The sequence below is a fragment of the Homo sapiens genome, chromosome 12, assembly GCF_000001405.40.
Source record: "Homo sapiens chromosome 12, GRCh38.p14 Primary Assembly".
In the NCBI taxonomy this organism is placed as follows: domain Eukaryota; kingdom Metazoa; phylum Chordata; class Mammalia; order Primates; family Hominidae; genus Homo; species Homo sapiens.
The window spans coordinates 103,151,573-103,173,878 of NC_000012.12; the positions used below are offsets into that span (position 1 = coordinate 103,151,573).

The 22,306-nt window shown below is 37.5% G+C and overlaps 1 protein-coding gene and 1 long non-coding RNA gene across 4 annotated transcripts in view; one reads left to right on the forward strand and one right to left on the reverse strand.

Moving 5' to 3' along the window:
- The window catches only part of C12orf42 (chromosome 12 open reading frame 42), a 516,167-nt gene that overhangs the window by 103,949 nt on the left and 389,912 nt on the right, over positions 1-22,306 (reverse strand). The gene's annotated exons all lie outside the window — the stretch shown is intronic.
- Positions 270-16,737, forward strand: C12orf42-AS1 (C12orf42 antisense RNA 1). The gene is made up of 7 exons (NR_126333.1): positions 270-346; positions 4,527-4,636; positions 7,887-8,011; positions 11,144-11,378; positions 12,831-12,865; positions 13,119-13,191; positions 16,466-16,737. It is a non-coding gene; the product is annotated as a C12orf42 antisense RNA 1 (long non-coding RNA).

The window sequence follows — 22,306 nt, forward strand, 5'->3', positions numbered from 1 at the left end:
ACTGGATCTAGTTATCTTTAAGAACCTAATGAGCTTTGAAAAAGATCAATGTAAATCACACAAAAAAAGAAAAATAAATGAACATTTTGATAGATGCAGAAAAAATATCTGATCAGATTTAACACTCAACCATGGTAACAACTCTTGGGTAACCTAGTTATAGATACATTAGTTAATAAAGAATATTATGTTAAGCAGAATTCTATGATCTCCAAGATTCCCACACAATTGTATGTAAGCTCTGTACAATTCTCTCTTATTGAGTGTGGGCAAAAGCTCACACTCAGTCCCAGGATTAAGTTACTAATCACTTGATGTTGTCTTAATTGAAAGGCAGATTACCCAGGTAGGCCTGACTTAACCAGATGAGTCATTAAAGGGAGTGGGACCTCCCTGAAGTCCAAGAAATTTGATGCAGGGGAGATTCTCCTTTGCTGGCTTCAAAAATGGAAGAAGCCAAATGGCTAGGATTTGAAAGTGGCTGCTGAAAGTTTAGAGAAAACCCCAGCCAATAGCCAGGAAAACAACAACAACAGAGACCTCAATGGTACAACTGAAAGGAACTGAATTCTGCTAATGAATGACCTTGGAAGAGAATCAAGAGCTCCAGAGAAGTACCTAGCCACAGGTTGACACCTTAATTTTAGCCTTGTGAGACCCTGAGCAGAGTATCCAGTTGAACCCTGCCCAGATGTATGGCATAGAAAAGTGAGATAATGACTTTGTATTGTTTTGAGTTGCTGAATTTATGGTAATTTGTTATGCAGCAGTAGAGAGCTAAGGTAAACAAGTACCTAAAAATCTATAGAGAACATCATACTCAATGGCAAATATTGCAGACCTTCCTGAGATCAGGAATGCATTTTCACTATTTCCACTCATTACGGTACTGGCCATCCTAGCAAATGCAACAAAACAAATAAACAAAATAAATAAATAAAAATCACAAATATAGGAAAAAATGAATAAAACTGTCATTGTTTACAGACTACATGATTCTGTACCTAGAATACTAGACTATCCAAAAAAATCTACAAACTTTAAGAATTGACAATAAATATAGCAAGGTTGCTGAGTCCAATGTCAATAAACGACAATAATTTTTTTTCTTATAATGCAATATAGTAATCATATTTTGTGGCTAATAAGCAACAAAAAGTAGAAAATAAAATTTTAAAATATTATTTATGCTTGCATGAAAAAGCAGACACATGTGAGAAGTATGAAAAATGTGTAAGACTTTTATACTAAAAGCTATAAAATATTTAAATAAAGGGGATCTAAACAAATAGAAAGTCATACCATGTTCATGAATTGGCTCAATATTGGAAATCCATCAAATCCCCCACAAACTAACCTATGTACTTAATGCTTTCCCAATATAAACTCCAGCAGTTTTTACTTTTTCTGATAAAATTAACTAGTTCTAAAACTCATATGGGAATGCAAAAAGTCCAAAAAGAGCAAAAAAAGGTATTGTCACACATCAGCTAGGTAGGGAAAGAATGGTCTTTTCAATAAATGGTTCTGTGTCTATTAAATAGCATTACAGAAAAACAAATGTGTCCTAACTCTTACTTTACATTGTGTACCAAATTAAATTCCAGATATACTGCAGATTTAATTATGAAGGAAAAAACTACAAAGCATTTGGAGGAAAAAATACAGCAGAACATCTTTCTCACTTGGGAGTAGCAAATATTTTTTAAGACATGACACACAAGGCACATCTCTAAAAGATACACATTGTTAAATCAAACTATATTATAATTAAAATGGTGTGTTCTTCAAAAGACACAAATACAACAGTTAAAAGGCAACCTACAGAGTGGGAGAAGATATTTTAATAAATATATTCAACAAATAACTCATATTCTAAACTTATAAAGAACCTCACAAATCAATTTTAAAAATAGGCATTCCCAATAGAAAAAGAAACTGAAAATGTGAACAAATACTTTATAAAAGAGGATCTTCCATGGCTAACAAATTTATTAAAAGGTGCTCAAATTCATTTATAATCAGGGATATCCAAGTTAAAACTAGCGTATACCCACTAGGATGACCAAAATAAAAAAGACAGACCAGTATCTAAAAGGATGTGGAACAACTGAAACTCTAATACACTAATGGCAGGATGGTAAATTGGTGCAACCATCTCGCAAACTGTTTGGGAGTATCTATAATATCTAAATATCTGCATATCCTCTCACTCATCAGTTTCTCTACTAACTGTGTGCCTAACAGAAATTCATACATATACTCACCAGAAAACAAGTACCAGAATATTTCATAGCATCGCTATTCACAGTAGTCCAAAACTATAACTTTCAAAATCTCCATCAACAGCAGAATGAATAAGTAAATTGTGGTATTTTCATACAGTGCAGTACTAGACTGTAGTAAGATGGAACAATCTACACAGACATACAAGAGTGTGGACAAATCTCAGCAAAAAAAAAAAAAAAAAAAAAAAAAGAATGTGGAGGAAAGAAGCCAGACCCATGAGTTAAAACTATATGGTTCCATTTTCGTAAAAAGTAAAAAATAGCATAACTAATTATTGTTGACAAATATCAAGCTGGTGGCTACTCTTGTAGAAGGCAGGTGATTGGATGGGGCATGGAGTTGGAGAATGAGTTTCTGGTATGCTGGTGAATGCTCCCTTTCTTAATTTAAAAGAGGTTATTCAGCTGGGTTTTGTTTGTGAAAATTCATCAACCTATGTAATTGTGATAAGTCTGCCTTTTTGTTGGAATATTATACTTTAATAAAAAGTAAAACTTAAAAACGAGCAAACAAAAAAACCCAACACCTTGGAAGCAGTTCAGGTACCCATCAGCATCATGAGGTTTACAGAAGAAGCCAGCTCATCCACACTGGATAAGAGGTTCCATCCTAGTTTTACATTCCATCAAATTTTTTTTTTCAGAAATGCAAAACATTTCTAACTTGTACTCTGAGAAATGCAAATCAAAGGAAGAAATATCAGTAACATGGAAAATACTTATGATAGAATGTTGAATGAAAGGAAACAGACCAAAATAATAATAGCAACTGTTTTGGATATAAAAAGGTGGATTCATTCTTTCTCTTTCAACTCATTTATATTTTGCCGATTTTCTATACTAGGGAAAAATTAGTTTTATGAGGGGAAAAAAGGAGGAAATTCCGTTTTTTTCCATAAGACAGAAACATTATGCTCAGAAAAAAACAAAGAGAAAAAATAATGTTTGACGTAATCTTTGCTGGCTAAAAATAACTTTTTATTTAAAAAGTGAGTCGAATTTATGGATTATACATTTGCAACTGTCTACTGGCTTTGGCTCTACTTTACATTTCATGTGTCTGGAATAAAATTCACCCTCCTCATACCATTACTACTTGAAAAATACTTAGTCCTGTGTATTATCAGTGAACTGGTGCCCAAAGCGAAACCTCCCCCACTCCTCTTTTCACAGTGGTAAATCAGTATAAAGCCCACTGCAGAAATTTGTGTGGAACTAGAAATTTAGCTGGAAATGTACCACAATATACCAGTCTTTCTTTTCTATACTCATGGCCCCTTTCTTAGTTTAGGCCCTTGAAGATAATGCTTGGACAATTACCTCCTAAATTATTTTCTTGCCAGTAATTTATCTTTTCCCCAGCACCACGGCCAAATCACAGCTCTGAGTGGGGAACCACATTTGAACAGGTGAGTTTGGTGGTAGGTGGTATGCACCTCCAATTGGCATGAGACCTCAAGCTGTTGGGAATGTCACATTTTTGTGGTTATTCAATGGTGAAAGGTAAATATTTACAAATTTGTCAATTTGGGCCCTCCAATGTGTCTTCTATATAAGCTATAAGGCAACTAATAACAAAGAAAGCAGAAAAAACAATGGTGAGCTGATTCTATGAGCACATAATGAGTTTTATAACAAAATAACGGTGGGGACACATTGGAGCTGCTGCTCCCTGTTTGGAAGCCTCTCTCTCTCCCAGAGAGCACATTGGGATGCTCATGGCTAATTCAGGTTATTTCTAAAGATTTTATTAAGAGTACTTGCTGGTGGGTTACCATTTTATATGTATGTGTGTGTCTGTATACATATATATACATACATATGTATATATACACATACTTGTATATATACATATACAAGTGTATATATATACATATTGCATATGTAAATGTGTACAAGTATGTGTATATATACATATAGTAAAAATAGTACATATACATATACCAGTATGTGTATATATAGATATGTGTGTATATATACATATATACATATATGAGTGTATATATACATATATACATATATGTGTGTATATATGCCTCCTTTGAAACAAGTTGTGCCTTTGTATTCTTCTACATCTTACATTTAATTTTGTATTACTGTAAAATATTTTCTAATTATGAACATTTTATTATGAACATTTGTTAATATTATTTTATATTAATCATGAATAATTATCAATAGCAATAATTTTATTAAGTAGTGTTATAATTATAATTTATATTCTGTATTTATTCACAGACTAGTCCCTTCTGCCTTCTGGGCAGGTCACATCTGAAAGATTATCCTCTTTGAATCAGTTTGAATGTTCTAGTGACCAGGCCACACAGTTTCTCTTGACATTTAAAAATGTAAGTTGTTCCACCCAGCCACAGAAGCATACCTAATGTATGATTCTTATTTATTTAAAGGCGAAAACAGACCAAGCTAATCTATGGTGTTATAAGTCAAGATGGTGGTTGCATTTGGGGGTGGTAGTGACTGAAAAGGGGCATAAAGGTGGGGGCAGGGCTTCAGGAGTGCTATAATGGACTTTGTTCTCAATGTGGGTGCAGATTGCATGAGTGGGTTCTGATTGTAAAAATTCACCAAGCTGTGTGTTTTAATGTGCAATTATGTGAATAAATATTACACTCCAATAAAAAGTGAATTTTTTTCTTCTAAAAAAAATGGGATACATGTGTAGAACATGCAGGTTTGTTACATAGGAAAATGTGTGCCATGGTGGTTTGCTGCACCTATTGACCTGTCCTCTAAGTTCCTTCCTCTCATCCCCGACCCCACAACAGGCCCTTGTGTGTGTTGTTTCTCTCTGTGTCCATGTGTTCTCATTGTTCAACTCCCACTTATGAGTGAGAATATGCGGTATTTGGTTCTCTTTTTCTGTGTTAGTTTGCTGAGGATGATGGCTTCCAGCTTCATCCATGTCCCTGCAAAGGACATGATTTCATTCCTTTTCATGGCTGCATAGTATTCCATGGTGTATATAGACCACATTTTTTTATCCAGTCTATCATTGATGGGCATTTGGGTTGGTTCCATGTCTTTGCTATTGTAAATAATGCTGCAGTAAACATATATGTGCATGTGCCTTTATAGTAGAATGATTTATATTCCTTTGGGTATATATCCAGTAATGGGATTACTGGGTCAAATGGTACTTCTGGTTCTAGATCCTTGAGGAATCGCCACACTGTCTTCCACAATAGTTGAGCTAATTTACATTCCTACCAACAGTGTAAAAGCGTTCTTATTTCTTCACAGCCTCGCCCGCATCTATTATTTCCTGAATTTTTAATAATCACCATTCTGACTGGCATGAGATGGTATCTCATTGCAGTTTTGATTTGCATTTCTCTGATGGTCAGTAATGTTGAGCTTTTTTTCATGTTTGCTGGTCACATAAATGTCTTCATTTGAGAAGCGTCTGTTCATATCCTTTGTCCACTTTTTGATGGAGTTGTTTGTTTTTTTCTTTTAAATATGTTCAAGTTCCTTATAAATTCTGGATATTAGACCTTTGTCAGATGGGTAGATTGCAAAATTTTTCTCCCATTCTGTAGGTTACCTGTTCACTTTGATGATAGTTTATTTTGCTGTCCAGAAGCTCTTTAATTAGATCCCATTTGTCCATTTTGGCTTTCGTTGCAATTGCCTTTGGTGTTTTAGTCATGAAGTCTTTGCCCATGCCTATGTCTTGAATGGTATTGCCTAGGCTTTCTAATTGGGTTTTTATGGTTTTGGGTTTTACATTTAAGTCTTTAATCCATCTTGAGTTAATTTTTGTATAACGTGTAAGGAACAGGTCCAGTTTTAGTTTTCTGCATATGGCTAGCCAGTTTTCCCAGCACCGTTTACCGAATAGAAGATCCTTTCCCCAATGCTTGTTTTTGGCAGGTTTGTAGAAGATCAGATGGTTGTAGGTGTGTGGTGTTATTTCTGAGGTCTCTGAGAAATATTACACTCCAATAAAAAGTGAAAAATTTAGAAGTATTTTGTTCAAGTCCTTTTCTATAAATGATTTGCAGAAACATGACCATATATGTTAAATGGTATGGAAATTCAGAAATAGTAATTTCATATAATTCTGTTATACTCTGAAAGTTTCTTGATTCATTACTCTCTCACAAAGAAATATTTTCTTATGATTTTTTAAATTTTCACTCTATTATGTTTCAAAAGAGGATATTAAGAAACAATAAAAAAGTATTTTCATTCTGGTGGTAAGAATGCCAATCATAAAAATAACAACTACCACTTTTTGAATGTTTATTATACATCACAAGCATTGCGTGGATTATCTCTGATATTCCCAATGTCTGATGAGATGAATTTTGTTATTTTCTTGCAGATGGGATAACTGAGGCTCAGAGACTTTATTTAATTTTCCCAAGTCCAGGTAGATTTATGTCAGGTTTCATTCCCAAACCTGTTCTTCTGGCACCACATCACATTGCCCATGGGTCTGTTTCTCACAAAAATGCCAGTTCACTGAAATATACCACGAAGATAGCTTCTGCGCTGACCACTCAGCACTGTAGAGACTTGGAACACATTCGCTTCCATTTCTAAGGATTCCTAAGGAACCCTTAGGCTGTGGATGTTTTTGTTTTTGTTTTTAACCTTATCTTCCTAAGTTAATATCCCTCCTAAGTACTTAGATAGAGCTTGAAGCACCATGAAAATGTATTGGAGATTCAATTTCATCTTCTGCTTTGTAAAAATATAAAAATGGATTGATGGCTAGGTGTGGTGGCTCATGCCCAAAATCCCAGCACTTTGGGAGGCCGATGTAGGCTGATCATGAGGTCAGGAGTTTGAGACCAGCCCGGCCAACATGGTGAAACCCCGTCTCTACTAAAAATACAAAAAATTAGCTGGGCGTGGTGGCAGGCGCCTGTAATCCCAGCTACTTGGGAGGCTGAGGCAGGAGAATCACTTAAACCCGGGAGGCGGAGGTTGCAGTGAGCCGAGATCGTGCCACTGCACTCCAGCCTGAGCAAAAGAGCAAGACTCAAAAAAAAAAAAAAAAATGGATTGATAGTCTAGATATCCTAAAGCTGATTTTTTACATCAATTACAATAAATAAAATAAGGAGACATGAGTGAAAGGTGGTAGAAGGTACAGTTTTATCTGTTAAGAGAAAAAAAAATTTTCCATCAATAATCTATCACAAAACATAGATCTTCTTTGACTATCATGTGGAACTCTCGACAGAACTTTTAAACCCTCCTGGTATAGAAAGGAGAGAATGGATTTATTTGTCTCCTTGCCAGAAGATAGGCAAGTAAAGCTTCTTCCATTGATTTTTTTAAAGTATACATAAAGGCTACAATTAGACTGATAGAATTGCATTATAGACAAACTTCTATCCCTGCACCTCTTCTTCCCCTTTACCTCTTGCCCACAGTCACACGACTTTTTCTTCCACTCCAGTGGTGCATGTCTACAGAGGCAGTTCCTGGCCTAATGTTAGTGATGACACAGATTAATTTAATTCTTAATAAAAAATTCACTGAGTGCCTGCCATATATACTAGACGTTCTATGTATTGGATTCTGAGGCTATGATGGTAAGTTGGATATTTCTCCTGCCTTCAGAAAGCTTCCAGTCTTGTCACTAATGGATTTGGGGTCCAGTACCCTTAAAATCACCTCAGAGCTGCCTGAATCCATAGACTACTTGCAGAATCACTGGTTTTACTTGGATCAAGCCATCTGAGAAGGTATCTGTCTCAACAGCCCCCCAACCTCCACCCTCCCTGCACTTTTATTTAACAAGTCAACTGTTTTCTGCAGCAAACACCATTTGCCATCCATTTAATTTCCCCTTCAATACTCAGGTTCACACTCTCCTTTGCATTGTCCCATTTGTCCCTATGTTCATGGTCCCCTCCAGTTGTATCCTAGGAACATGTGTGTGCACATGCATCATCTCTCCAACTCTTTGAAGACAGGGACCCCTGACTCTTAGTTAGTGCATGCTTAGAATGCCTTGTTCAGACTTGGTTTGCATAGTCAATTTAGCTTAGGAAATATTGTTGGTCAACTGACTATTCAATAGATGACTCTGAGACTGCCTATTCCATATTTCAAAACAGATTGGCTAATCCAGAAGTGTTTCTTTGGGATGAGGCCAGCTGAGGTGGAACAACAGGGCACACTATTCAATGGGGGTATTTAGCTCATTGTGTTTGACGTATAATCACAGGGCAAGAGTTTGTCAAAAGTAACTGATAATGAGCATTGCGCTTTCCTTGCTAAACCTAATTCTGTGAGAAAAAAAGTCAGATAGAATTAAAGGAAAATTCCATCATTGATCCTTCCCAGAATCTGTCCTAACATCAAAAATTCCAGAGGTTCTACAGCAAAGCAGAGTGGAATAATTCCTAGAACCACAGGGAGTTGCATAGATTTAAATAAAATTCTTATGAGCAAAACTACCAAGTGCTATTCCATTCCCACTCCTCCTTTCCTAGAAAGGTGTCCAGTTATTCCAGAAGTCAATGTGAAAGGTTTATAGGAATTACCCTGTTCTCTAATACCCTGTATTCACATTTTAGAATGACTTTATGTCTTTAAATCTAATACCCTGAACATTGTTCTCTAATAAAATTTTCCCCCAAGTAAATTTTTCCCCCAAGTAAAGCAAAGGATAAGCAGGAGTGGGACTTGAAATCACCATTTACAAGGTATGGGATGGATTCCTCAAAGAAGATCCCTCAAGACTACAGCAATTGCAGGCTGTCTATATTTGCTAATAAAACCCCTTGCTGAGTAGCCACTGAACAGTGCAACACCCCAATCCCTTATTGAATCCCAGCCCATACTTCCTAAGGCAGTTAGACTCCTCCTAAGCTAGACTTCACAGATGATTTCCATGCTTTGGGGAAAATACAGTTCTGGAACACAACTAAACTGTGACCCTGGATGAGGCAGGCTATCTAGACATACCAACATAGTGTAGTGGCTAAAAGTCAGATTGCCTCATTTTGTTCTGGACTTACTGGATTTGTGTGAGTGCCAGCTTTACCACTCACTATACAGTCACCCTGTGGAGTAATTTGCTTAATTTCAGTTTCCTCAGCTGCGGAAAGGTAGAAATAACCCTTATTGAGCTATTTTGAAGACTGATTTAGACAACCTATGTGAAACGTTGAGCATAACGTCTGGCATGCTTGATTGCTCAGTAAATTATTATTTGTCCCACTCCACTGGATCTCAGACGCAAAACGTGTAATGGATACCATAACTTTCCAAAGTGGGGCAGGCTTTCCACTCTTGTGATTGCATAAATTCTAAATCTTAGAGTTTCTCTTGGAGATACCCAAGTCTTGAGGAAAATCTTCACTGCTTAATCCTGAATCCAAGACTAGAAGAGGGAATTTATAACTTCCAAATAGTTAAGCATTGAAAGGTGGGATTGAAAAAGTGTCCTTTTAAAGTAATTTGAGGGCATCAGCCTTCTCACTAGCATGTCCCAAAGTGACTAGTGCCTAGCACTAGTTCTGCAAAATGCTAAAAAAAAAACCCATGATCAAATACATTTTAAAAAATTACCACCTACCATCTCCCTCTCTTGTAGATTTTTATATACCTCAACATATTAAAGGTATGAAAAGATCATGCAGAAAAAAACCTGTTCAGCTTCATCTCACATAGTATTTCTGCCACTTATTTCACCACAGATACTTTGTTAATATCTTGGAACTCTTGTTTTTAGAAAAAAGCATTGGAAATGGAGGAGACTGTCAAGGACAATAATAAATGATGGTACTGTAAACACCTAGCATTCCATTTTGCCAAATTCTAAAAAAATAAAAATAGAATCTTAAAAATTGCACAGTAGTTAGTACTGGGCACAATTAAGTTCTCCTTTCACAAAATGATCTTACCTGGGCCTGAATACCTGAGGTCTTGCTCACACTGGCGTGGTTACAGGGGTCATGTACACAAAAATGACCTATTTGTTTGTGAAGAACTTTATGTACTTATTAAGCACAAATAGCTTGAGTTTGATTTTGATTTTTCAGAAGAAATTGTTTCTTAGAAAACTGATCATCAAACTCCATTCCACACCAGTTTGTTTTCCCCTCTCGCACTCTCTTTGTGTAATAGAATCTGTTCCCACAGGTTTGGGGAATATAAAAGAAGCCTACAATCCCCCAGCCCCCCTTCCCTTTTCCCTCCTAATGCCCCAGAGCAGCTAGTAGGGTTTATTGCTCTTCCCCAACATTGGCTCCTTTCTATACATGGAGTAAGATTGATGATCCTCATTCTAAAATGTGAAGATCCAGCATGCGCCTTTGTCCTATGTCCCTTGAGAGTGAATTGGCATAAGCAGCACTCGGTAAAGAGGCAGCACTTTTTGGTACATCAGGAGTGACAGTGACAGTATGGAGCAAGCCTGCGGGGGCCTCTCCACCACCCCCACTCCTGTCAATCTCTACCTTGAGCTCAGTACCCACTGGGGTAGACTGCTGCCTCACCAGACAATATCATGGAAAGAGTGCTCAGGTCCAAATCCCCTGCAGGGCCCACTTTGCAAGGTTGGCTGGGGGAAGCTGTAGCCATAGTGAAATGGCCCTTTATTTAAAAGCACCTTCAGTTACAACTGTGAGGGTACATAGATGTCAAGCCAACAAGCTGGTGTGTGTGTGTGTGTGTGTGTGTGTGTGTGTGCAGGAGCATGTGTAACCACACATCTGTACACCTAAGAAGAGGGAAGCCAATCAATAACTACTCTGTATTTCTTAGCTCTCCTCTTGGAAGTCAACCTGCATGACTCCAAAGGCAGGTTGCACAAACCTGGCATCTTACAAGATTCTCATCAGGCTCTCATTTTTTTGTGTCACTAGTTTGGCTGAAATAAAAACTCAAAGCCCCCACAATATTGAACCACCATTCCAGACCCAGCCAAGGTTTGGAACATAAAGTGAGCTGAATGAATCAGCCTGCAGGCAACCCAGAGAAAGTAATTGTTCATCCTAGCAGCACGGCTGCTTTTCTGCTTAGCATCTGAACAAGTTAATTTGGAAACACAGCCTTCTGGAAAGAAATGGCGCTTCTCTCAGCATCCCATGGATTCATGAGGTGAGATGCCCTTTCACCAGGTAGAAACAGTAAATTACATTTGAAATCCATTTCTATTGAAGGAGAAAAAATCCTTCTTTTTCCCAGGAGCTCATCTTTTTGCCTGGTAGCACCATTTAACATCAATTGCCCAACTTCAGAGTTCACTTTTTACTCACATCAGTGTCTGGCAACTAGGGGAAGAATTTTACTAGTTGAACAAGGAGCAGTTGAATTAAATACAAAATCACATAAAGAAGTTTGTTCTTTGCTAATCCTGGGCTTCAAGGAACTGATCTCAGCAGCATCTAAATTGGACAAATTGGCTAAATTGATCCTGCTTCATAGAAAGGGTACTTCATCTAGATCCAATCAATGGCAGATTGAGGTGTGATGTGAAATGAGGGGAAGGAATCAGGTAGCCAACTATTTATAGGGTAGAAGTCTGGCTTTAAGGAGTAAAAATGCCTCCATTTCATGTTGGTTTTATTACCCCTTAAACACCAGTGCCCTTGAATTGTGTGCTCCAGGACTGCCCTTGTGTTTGAGCTGAGGGCTGGATGGCAGTGAGCTCAGAAAGAGAGAACTAGAGAAATCTAATCTAGACATTGTGTCTTTTGTTCTGTCCACAGCTTGACCAGTCTGTATTTGACCTTCCATCACCAATTAATTAAAAAACAAAAGCAGAGAGGACCTTCTATGTTTCTGGCATTGAACTAGATCTTTTACAAAATTATTTTTAATACTACAGGCCTGGAAAGTCAGTTATCAAGTATAACTGAGTAGGTTTGCCTGGATGTTCATCCCAGCCCCCAGTGATTAGCTGTGTGATATGGGGTGAGTCAGTTTAGCTCTCTGAGCCTCAGTTTTCTCATCTGTAAAATTGGGATAGTTAAAGTGCCTACTTCATAGGGTCATGGAGAGGATTAAATGTGATAATTATTTAACAAGCACTTGTTACAGTGCTTCTTATTCTCATCTGGGGAAAAAGGCTCAGAGAGGTCAATTTATCCCAGTCCTTACTAATAAGTCACAGAGTTGGGGGGTCCAAACTAGATTTACTGTACACCAAAGCCCATGCACCTTCCACCAGGTCATGATGCAATGATCAGAAGCAATTATTATAAGCCCAGTGTTGTATGCTCTGTGCTAAGATCTGTAAAATGGAAAAGCAAAGGAAACCCAATGTATCGTTTCTCTTCTCAAAAGCAACCTAGACAATGAACACTAATGTATGGTACTGACCATAAGTGGAATAAGAGTCTCCACAAGATGCTCTGTGTCACTTCAGACAACAACAACCCTATTCGTATCTCCATATATCCTATGCTACCAGGCTTGAATCTTAGGAAACTTTCAGTAGTCACTTCTTGTTCTCTAACATCACAGCTGTTTGTATACTTACAGACTCTCCTATCCCCTTTCATAGAAATTATACATTTATATATGACTCTTTCTTCTTCTTGGCAGCAGCTCCTTGAATGCAAATATTGCCTGATATTTTCATGGTAAGTTCTGAGCAAATAGGTGCTGGACGAATGAATTACTGAATAAGTGAGTACATTTCTTTATTTGCCAGGAAAGAATTGGGCATTGCTTGCATAACTTCTGTCTAAGGCACAGGGGGTGGGTGCCAGTATAAAAGACATTGTCCTGAAGAAATTTACATAGTATATCAATATTTTCCATATACTTATACTAATATTTTTAAGTTTGCATTGTTGTCTGTGTTACTTTTGTAAACCTTTTGTTTTCATCCAGATTCAAAGCTCTTGGAGAGCGGAAACCATGATGAATACTCCTTTATTTATTCCATGTAACACTCCAGACAAGAGTAGGCTTTGATTCTGTCGTATTGAATTCAATTACCGGTTCAGTAGGAGAGACAAGATAAATTGGCAGGCAACCCATGTGTATCAGTATACTCACAAATGTGGAGTATTAGGATATTAGGATAAAATATGCTCAGAGTTGAGAGAATTTAATGAAACCCATGATACTTAGGTAGGACAAATGTCTTCAGACAGAGAAATTAAGGTTTACTATCACATATGTGAACCCTGAAAGAGCCAGTCTGTAAAGTTGGATCCTGAGTGGCTAACTGGGCCTAAATTCAAAATAGAGTGAAATGACCGTTTGCTGACTAGAGGTCACACACATAGTCTGTGTTCCTGGAGAACCCCCATGCTCACTTAACTTTGGGATTTGTATAGCTGTCTGTTCCTATTTATGCCACCTGAATCAACCAATGGACAATGACCTGCATTGGCCAATCAGAACTCAAGAAGCATCAACCAATTAGAACTAAGCAAGTTTGCATTCTTTATCCGCATAAGCAAACCAAAGTGGGAAACCGGGCAGGCACTTTCCCTATAAAAGACAGGCCCTCTCTTTGTTCTCTTGAAACATGGCTGCATCTCCCAGGTTTGCAAACTGTTAGCTGTAATAAAGTCTCTTTCCCCTTTTCAAAAGAAAATTATTTTCAGTGGATTCTGGTTCAACTTTCTTCATGACGAAATTCACCTGTGAAGTGAGGGAGAGGATTGCAAATATATGCCAAAGATAACAATAGGTCTGAAGGTGGCATATAGAAACAGTGGCAGGTAGAGACTCAAATTCACATAACTTAGCCAACTAATGGACTATCTCCTTCCTGTTTTTCTTTAACAAATGCAATTAAAAAAATCACACAGGTTAGTCTTTTAACCAGTCATGTGCCTGGTGCTGTATCAAGAGCTGTGGAAATAGCAGTCACAAAGCCAGGCAAAATCACTGCCCTTAAGAAGCTTATAATCTGAAGACATCACAGTGCGCATAAAGAATGAAACCAGGCCGGGCGCGGTGGCTCACGCCTGTAATCCCATCACTTTGGGAGGCCGAGGGGGTAGATCACTTAAGGGCAGGAGTTCTAGACCAGCCTGGCCAACATGGTGAAACCCCATCTCTACTAAAAATACAAAAACTAGCCGGGCGTGGTGGCGGGTGCCTGTAGTCCCAGCTACTCGGGAGGTGAGACAGGAGAATGGCGTGAACCCGGGAGGGGGAGGTTGGAGTGAGCCGAGATCGCGCCACTGCACTCCAGCCTGGGTGACAGAGCGAGACTCCGTCTCAAAAAAAAAAGAAAGAAAAAAGAAAGAGAGAGAGAGAGAAGGAAGGAAGGAAGGAAGGAAGAAACCACAAGAAGTGTGAGTAGAAACACAGGCCCTGAAGTCAGCCTCTCTAGGTTTGAATCCTAGCTCCCAGCAAGGACTCTGAGACCTTGTGCAAGTAATATGAATGTCTCTGTGGCTCATTTTCTCCCATTATACAGTGAAGAAAATAGGATTAGGTTTATAGGGTGGTTGTTCTGAATATTTAATGAGATAATAGAGGAATAATTTAGTGGAGCTCCTATTAAATGATAAATGCTTAAAAAAAGTTAGCTATTATTGTTATTAAAGAAAGGTGATATTCTTATTCTCAAGAATGAGACACTCTAATAAATAGTTTGTGTATTTTATTTTATTCCACTTGATTTTCAAAACAAGTTAATGATGTAGGTATTGTTATTCTTATTTTATGGGCAAGAATACAAAGATTTTTAAATAACATAATTATAGTCACATAATAAATGGAGTCAGAATTTGAATCCAGGTCTATTTCTTCCCAAAAGTCATACTCCTTCAGCTAGTCAATCCTCATTTAATAAATTATTGAATTCAAAGGCAATAAACCCTTCTCTTCATTTTTAAAATTCTTGCCTGAAATGAGATATTTCAATTCATATTTATCCTTTTCTTTCTTCTTGTGCTGTCTTTACTCTTTCTTTACATACCCATTTGATTTAGTGTTATGATGAGATGGGTAAATATTTTCTTCTCAACCTGCAAATTAACTTCTTAAGGCAAAATTTCATCCATCTTTTTTTTTCCTTATGTTGTTCTGCAATACAAATAGCTCAAAATAGAGCTTGGCACTTAGTAATGGCTCAGAAAATTAGCTTTTATTATAAGTGTTATTAGTCTTTATCTTTATCGACTCTTCTAAAACATCTACCTGACAACATTTTGATATTTCTAGTCCTAAATTAAATTTCTCCTTGCTGTTATCCAAATGTTCACGCTTTTGAAATAAATTGCTCTTCTCACTAGTGTGTATGGCCTGTGTGTCACATTACATCTCAGATTGGACAGGTTTCTCTGACCCTGATAGTCTTAGTGGTTGCGCAATCATGTTCTTCACATCTAGATCCTCCCAGGTGTATGTTCTGGCCTGCTCCGACTTGGCCCAGCCCCAGGTACTACAGACCTTCAAACCCAAGTCAGTATCACCAAGGTCCTGTTCCAAAGAGAACCAAGTCTGGCAGGAGATTAGGAGCTGCATCTCCTCCAGAAACTCATGCAGATATTTGGCTTACTTTCCTAAGCCTGAACTATAGGGTTCCCGGAGATTTACTGGACAATTTTGTGTCCCCCCAAATTGAAGCTTCTCCCACTCATCCCCTCTACCTGGCTTAGGCTACAAATCTCTAGTCCTTGAATTGAACACTAGTCATTTCTCTAAGCTGAGTCTTTTATTGAACTCACTGAAGCCCCGATGAATTCCTATCTCTTAACAGCTCCCTCAACCTGGAGCCCCAGCCAGTGACTGGGTTACTGTTTCAACCCAGTGGATTTTTTTCCAGGAAAAAATATGTTGCTCCTCATTCACTATTGGCCAAAATCTCCTCTTGCATTTCTTCCATCCAATGAAAGGGATTTTGACATTTCATTTCAATAAGCATTTAGTATGATGTATCTCTTAGCTTAAGCACTTAACAGCACAAAAAATAAATTAGACTTATTCTTGAGAAACTTTTAGAGTTATGAGACAAACCAACAGTAAATGAAAAAAAAATGCGCTTTAAATGGAGGTAAAAAGTAAGCTAGAAACAGAAAGAAATATGTAACATACTATCTCTGAGGGGTGGGCGTGTGTGTGTGTGTGTGTGTGTGTGTGTGTGTGTTTGTGTCTGTGTGTGTGTGTGTATACTGCAAATGGTTAGAAAGAACAGTCTCTAACAACTGAATTCTGAAAAATTTCCATGTTTTTAATTGTGTCTGTTAATATGTACATGCATCTCTTTATAGGTGAGGGAGAATGGGAGAAACAAGAAATGATTACATTATTGTGGATACTTTTATTCACCACAATGGAAGTCTTTAAACATAAAGTTGATGTACATTAAGAGGCAAGACCCAGGGCATATCATCTAAAGAAGATTCCTCCCACTTTTCTTCTGCTTACACCAATCCATCCAACCATACATGAATTTATATTCAATGTACTCAATTTATTCAGTGTATAATATTGCTTTGTGAACTATGGGAAATATAAATATGACTCAGTTTTTCCCCTCAAATAACTGACATGCTACTTGAGCAGATAACATATTTAAGAGCCTGATGATATCTTAGATATTACCTAGTTCAACTCTTTCAATCAAGAGAGATAAAGTAACTTTCCTGAGGTTGCACATCAGGATAAGGAGTCACATCCCTATCTTATCACCTAAATACATTATTCTCACTATGTTATACTTGCTTTACATAGTGAGCTTACACTTACATGAAAAATTCAACATGGCAAGGCAGTATAGGATGAGAGCTAAAATATTATAAAACCAACATTAGTTTTCATTTATTGAGTGCTTACTAGGTATCAGACACCATTCTAAGTTTATTTCTTAACCCGTTTAAAAATCAGAACTGGGTATATACCCAAAGGATTATAAATCATTCTACTATAAAGACACATGCACATGTATGTTTATTGCAGCACTATTCACAATAGCAAAGACATGGAATCAACCCAAATGCTCTTCAATATTAGACTGGATAAAGAAAATGTGGCACATATATACCATGGAATACTATGCAGCCATAAAAAAGAATGAGTTCATGTCCTTTGTAGGGACATGGATGAAGGTGGAAACCATCATTCTCAGCAAACTAACACAGGAACAGAAAACCAAATGCCACATGTTCTCACTCATAAGTGGGAGTTGAACAATGAGAACATATGGGCACAGGGAGGGGAACATCACACACTGGAGCCTGTTGGGGGATGGGAGACAAGGAGAGGTATAGCATTAGGAGAAATAACTAATGTAGATGACAGGTTGATTGGTGCAGCAAACCACCATGGCATGTGTATACCTATGTAACAAATCTGCATGTTCTGCACGGATATTCCAGAACTTAAAGTATAATATAAATAAATAAATAAATAAATAAATAAATAAATAAATAAAATAAAGATTAGGGTGGAGCAGCCAGCTTCTTCGTGCACTATGTAAATGGAATACCTGGTCCAACCAATCCTCTGTGCCCTATGTAAATCAGACACTGCCTCCTCAAGCTCATCTATAAAACCAACCACATCTCACTGGGAACCGAGAGACCCATTCCGAACCTCTTCCCTCTGCACAAGGGAGCTTTTCTCTTTTGCCTATTAAACTTCCATTCTTAAACTCAAAAAAAAAAAATCAGAACATCTCTAGGAGGTAGACATTATTATAACATGCTTTTTACAAATTAGTAAATGAGGTACAGAGAAGACAAGTAACTTATCCAAGATCATATGGTTAGTATGTATAAGAAATGAGTTTTAAGTCTAGAAAACCCACCTCCAGTGTCAGTGCTCTTAAACACAATGCATTACTTTTTCAAAACCTGTAGATTACTCAGAAAATAAATGCTACTACAGTGTTATAGTGGGCAAAATAATTACATTGTTAATTGATTAAAGAAGGTGTTTTGGATGAGATAGGATATATCATTAAAAAGATATACATATAAAAATTTGATATGCTAAAAATAAAAAGGATAAAATAAAAATGATAGAGCATGAATAGATATGAGTAAAGGTGAATGTGCAAGACATAGATTAGTGAACAGACCAAGGTTAGAGCAATGGTTCATGCTGAGAGGAATAGGAGGTTCAGAAGGAAAATATAAATAAGCTCTGGTACTGGACTAAGGAGCTCCCATTGAGCTTTTTTCAACTGAGAATTGACATTGAATAAAGTATGTTTAATTTTGTATATAGAAGGAACCAAAAGCAACAGATCAAAAAATTGGAAAGTCAAGAAGCTAAAAGGCAAGACACCAGTGTAGTACTCCAGGCTTGAGTGGTGAACACTCCACTAATTTTTTCCCAACCTACTGGCTATGCCTTTGAGTCTCCTTTGCTGGGTACTTTTCATCTTCTTGGCCCTTAAATTTTGGAGTGTCCCAGATTTCCATTGTCAAGTCTCTTTTCTTCTCTATGTACAATTATACCCTTATGCCATGACATTAAATAGCCTGCATATGCTAATAATTCTTAATTGCATGCTTAATATTTTCATTTGGATGTCTAGCCTTACATGTAGTCAGATAAAAACCTGACATTTTAGTATTCCTCTGGAACTTTCTCCTCCTCTCTTCATTCAGTGGCTCAAGGTCAGTCTTGACTCTTCCTTACACAATGCTTGTCAGCAAATTACATCTATTTTCAAGTTTTGACCACTTTATACTTCCCCAATACCCTAGTGCAAGCTTCCATCAGCCTTCCACTTTTCTCACTTACTTGTCCATTTCTCCTCTCCTCGTACACATACTCTGTTCTCTATATAGTAGTATGATCCTTTAAAAAAAAAAGCCAAATCCTGCCATTTTCCATTGATTATCTAATCCAGTACAATCCAAGATTTCTTGTGATCTTCAACAAGTTTCTGCATGAGCTGTGTCCTGCCATCTCTCTCTCTTCTCCAACCCCTTTTCATCACTCCATTTACACCCAACGCACTCAATTCAATTCAATTCAGTGTATGCTACTGCTTTGTGAACTGTGAAGAATATATTAGTAAATATAAATTGGCTTGTTGTCTTAAAATAACTGACAATGTAGTTGAGTTGATAAGATATTTTAGAGCCTCGTGATATCTTAAAGATCATCTAGTGCAACTCTTTCAGTCTGGAGAAGAGAAGTGACTTTTTGAGGTTGCACATCAGGACAAGAAGTTGTATCATTTATCTTTTTACCCTATACTCATCCCATTATGTTATACTTGCTTTTTATGTTATATGCTCCTGCCACATAGATTTCTGTACTGTTTCTAGGATATACCAAGTCCCTTCTTTCCTGGAGCTTCTTAGCTCTTCTAGATAACACTCATCCAAGATTGTCACCTTTATTTATTGAGATTTCTGCTAAAGTATCACTAACTCAAAAGGACCACTAAAATAGCAGCCATCCCAATACTATCTATCCACTGACCCTGCACAATCTTTCATTATATCACTTATCAATAACTGAGATTATATAAACACCTCGGTATATACTTATTAGTTGTTTATTGTCTATCTTCCCTTCCTAGAGAGTAACTTCTATGAGGGCAGAGGCATTGTCTGCCTTGTTCACTAAGAGGCCCTCTATAAATATTTGTTGAATAAAAGACTGGATGAGTGAGTGAATAAACAAATGGATAGGCATGAGAAGTAACTCTTAAAAGTATAAATAAAGGATGAAATAGAAGGAAGAACTGTTAAGAAGGAGTATTTTGTAACTCTCACAATTGATTGGATCTGAGAAATCAATGGGGAAGGTAGAGTTAAAGAGTACACCAAGATATTGAGTCGCAGGAGCTGGAAGAATAGTATTTTTAATAAATTGAAGAGTTGGAAAATATAAGTAAGTGTTAGAGAAGGAAATTAAAGGCATTAGAGAGACAGTGGTATTGAAGTATGGGACTCCATAAGATTTCAGACTAGGGGAACGAAACAGGAGAACAATGAAGATCAAAGATTAAGCCTTGGGGCCCACCTACGCCTAGGTTTGGGGAAGAAGAGACAAGTCTTCTCCCTCTTCTCTATATTGGTATTATAGGACTGAAGAAATGTACCAGACTGAAGGTGAGTTAATTAGTGGGCCAGGGATGACAAAGGGAACCCAGTGTCAATGGCACAGAAAGACTAAAGTGGTGGGGATAACACAGGGAGAAAATGTAAAAGGCCAGTGTCCCTATGTTGAGCACTGTAGGAACTTACAATAAGAAAATGGTTTGTTTGGAGAACCAGAATGAATTAGGTAGGGCACAAGATAGGGCAGAATGGTGAGTCCAGAGGCAAAGGCCAAGTCCAGTCTGTTTCTAAGAATGGGCATCATTCATTCATTCCTTCATTCATTTCTCAAATTTTAGGCAGGAGGGAGGCTCCTCCTGCCTAAATTCATGAATAAGACAGGTCTCCTGCTTTCATAAATTTCCCAATCTGTGATAGCAGGAAAAACAGAATAGGGTAATATGCATGAAGCAAAGCAGGAAAGGTGGGGAGTTGAGTGGGTAGAAGAAATAGCTCTAAGGAAGTCTAGCTCATGAGTACGTGGTGAAGTAACTAAGTGACAAGATGGTGTCAGGAAGTTGATGGAATGAGCCAGAGATGAGCAGCCCACAGTTGTAGGACAATTATGATGATACTAGCAATTATAATATTTTTATAGAGCTGTCAGTTTCCTTTGGTCTGCCTACCTTTTCCCCTTGCTGATATATCTCATTCCTCACAATGCTATGTGGAGTATATAATATTCCCCCACTATTTATGGATGAGGAAACAGGGTCTCAGAGAAGCAAAAGACTTGCCTAAAGTGTCACTCTCCCTAGACAAACTCTAAGTTGGAGGTGAGCTATTTCACTGCAGTGTCATGTGGCAACCCCACAAAGTCCTCTGCTGACATCACTGTATTTCCTAATAAATCATACCCAGATTTTATTGGCCTATTTCAAGGATATTGCTACAAAATATTTCCAACAGTTTCAGATGTTTTTCCTGGAATTTTATCCAAAAGAAGAACATAGTATAATAACACAATACTAAAGCTAACATAAGCCTCTTTTGTGCCTAGAATCTAAATTTTGTCAAATATATCTCTTGAACTCGTACCCTAGGAGTTAATAATTAAAGTTTCCACCACATAACCTCCAGAGATTTGTTTGTTTTGTTAGTTTATATTGCCCAATAATTTACCTCCAATGACAAAGCTTCTCCCAAACAAGGTTTTGAAGTGTGTGTCCACTTCTCTCCAGGAAATAAATGTTTTTAGGGGGAACATTAGCACCACAGTGGCTGTTAGAGATAAGCCAGTCCAGGCTCCTTAATTAGAGACCAAATCTCAGGTACCAAAGAGTTCAGTGATTTGTTTAGGGGTCCAGAGTTGTTCGTACATTTTACTAAATCCATGTTATTTATTTTTGCTGGCATCTATATAGCCTGTATATAAAACATGAAGTAAAATTGATCAGAAAATATCCAGTTTAATGTTTTTTATTGTATAAATGAAGAAACAGAGGCTCAGAGAGTCTAAGTGATACTTCTGAGTTCACATGGGAAAGCAGCAAAAAAGCTGAACACCCAATTCCCTATTTGGAGATTTCACATGGGACAGTGCTTCTCAAAATAGAGATTGATGGACACTTTCATGTCTTAAAGAAAATCTCCTTCCCACTCTAGCCTTCCTAAATCATGAACTCTGGTGTTATCTGAGGAATCTAAAAGCCCCTGCCTGCAGACTTTCTGAGATCTTACCAAGTTTTTCATGCAGGTCTGAGTGCCTCATACTGTAACAAGACAACTTTTGTCTTTCATTGTATCCTAGACCTTTATGGAGAAATCACCAAAGGCCCTTTGTAACTTTCATTAGACCTCCACTCCTTCTTCTTATATTAATGCCTTCCATTAAACAAATGCACCCTTCCCTCTTAAAAGTCCTCTCCCCGTGATTCTTTCCTTTGGTGGATTGTGCTTGATCCTCACTTCTTCTTCTCCTGATTAATCGTGTGGTTTCTTCTCTACTTTTGTCTCCCACTCACTTCTCTCTCATCTTGTTCTACCAGATTCATTCACTGCAGGAACTCAAGCATACCCTCTATTTACTCATATTGCTCTCACTGT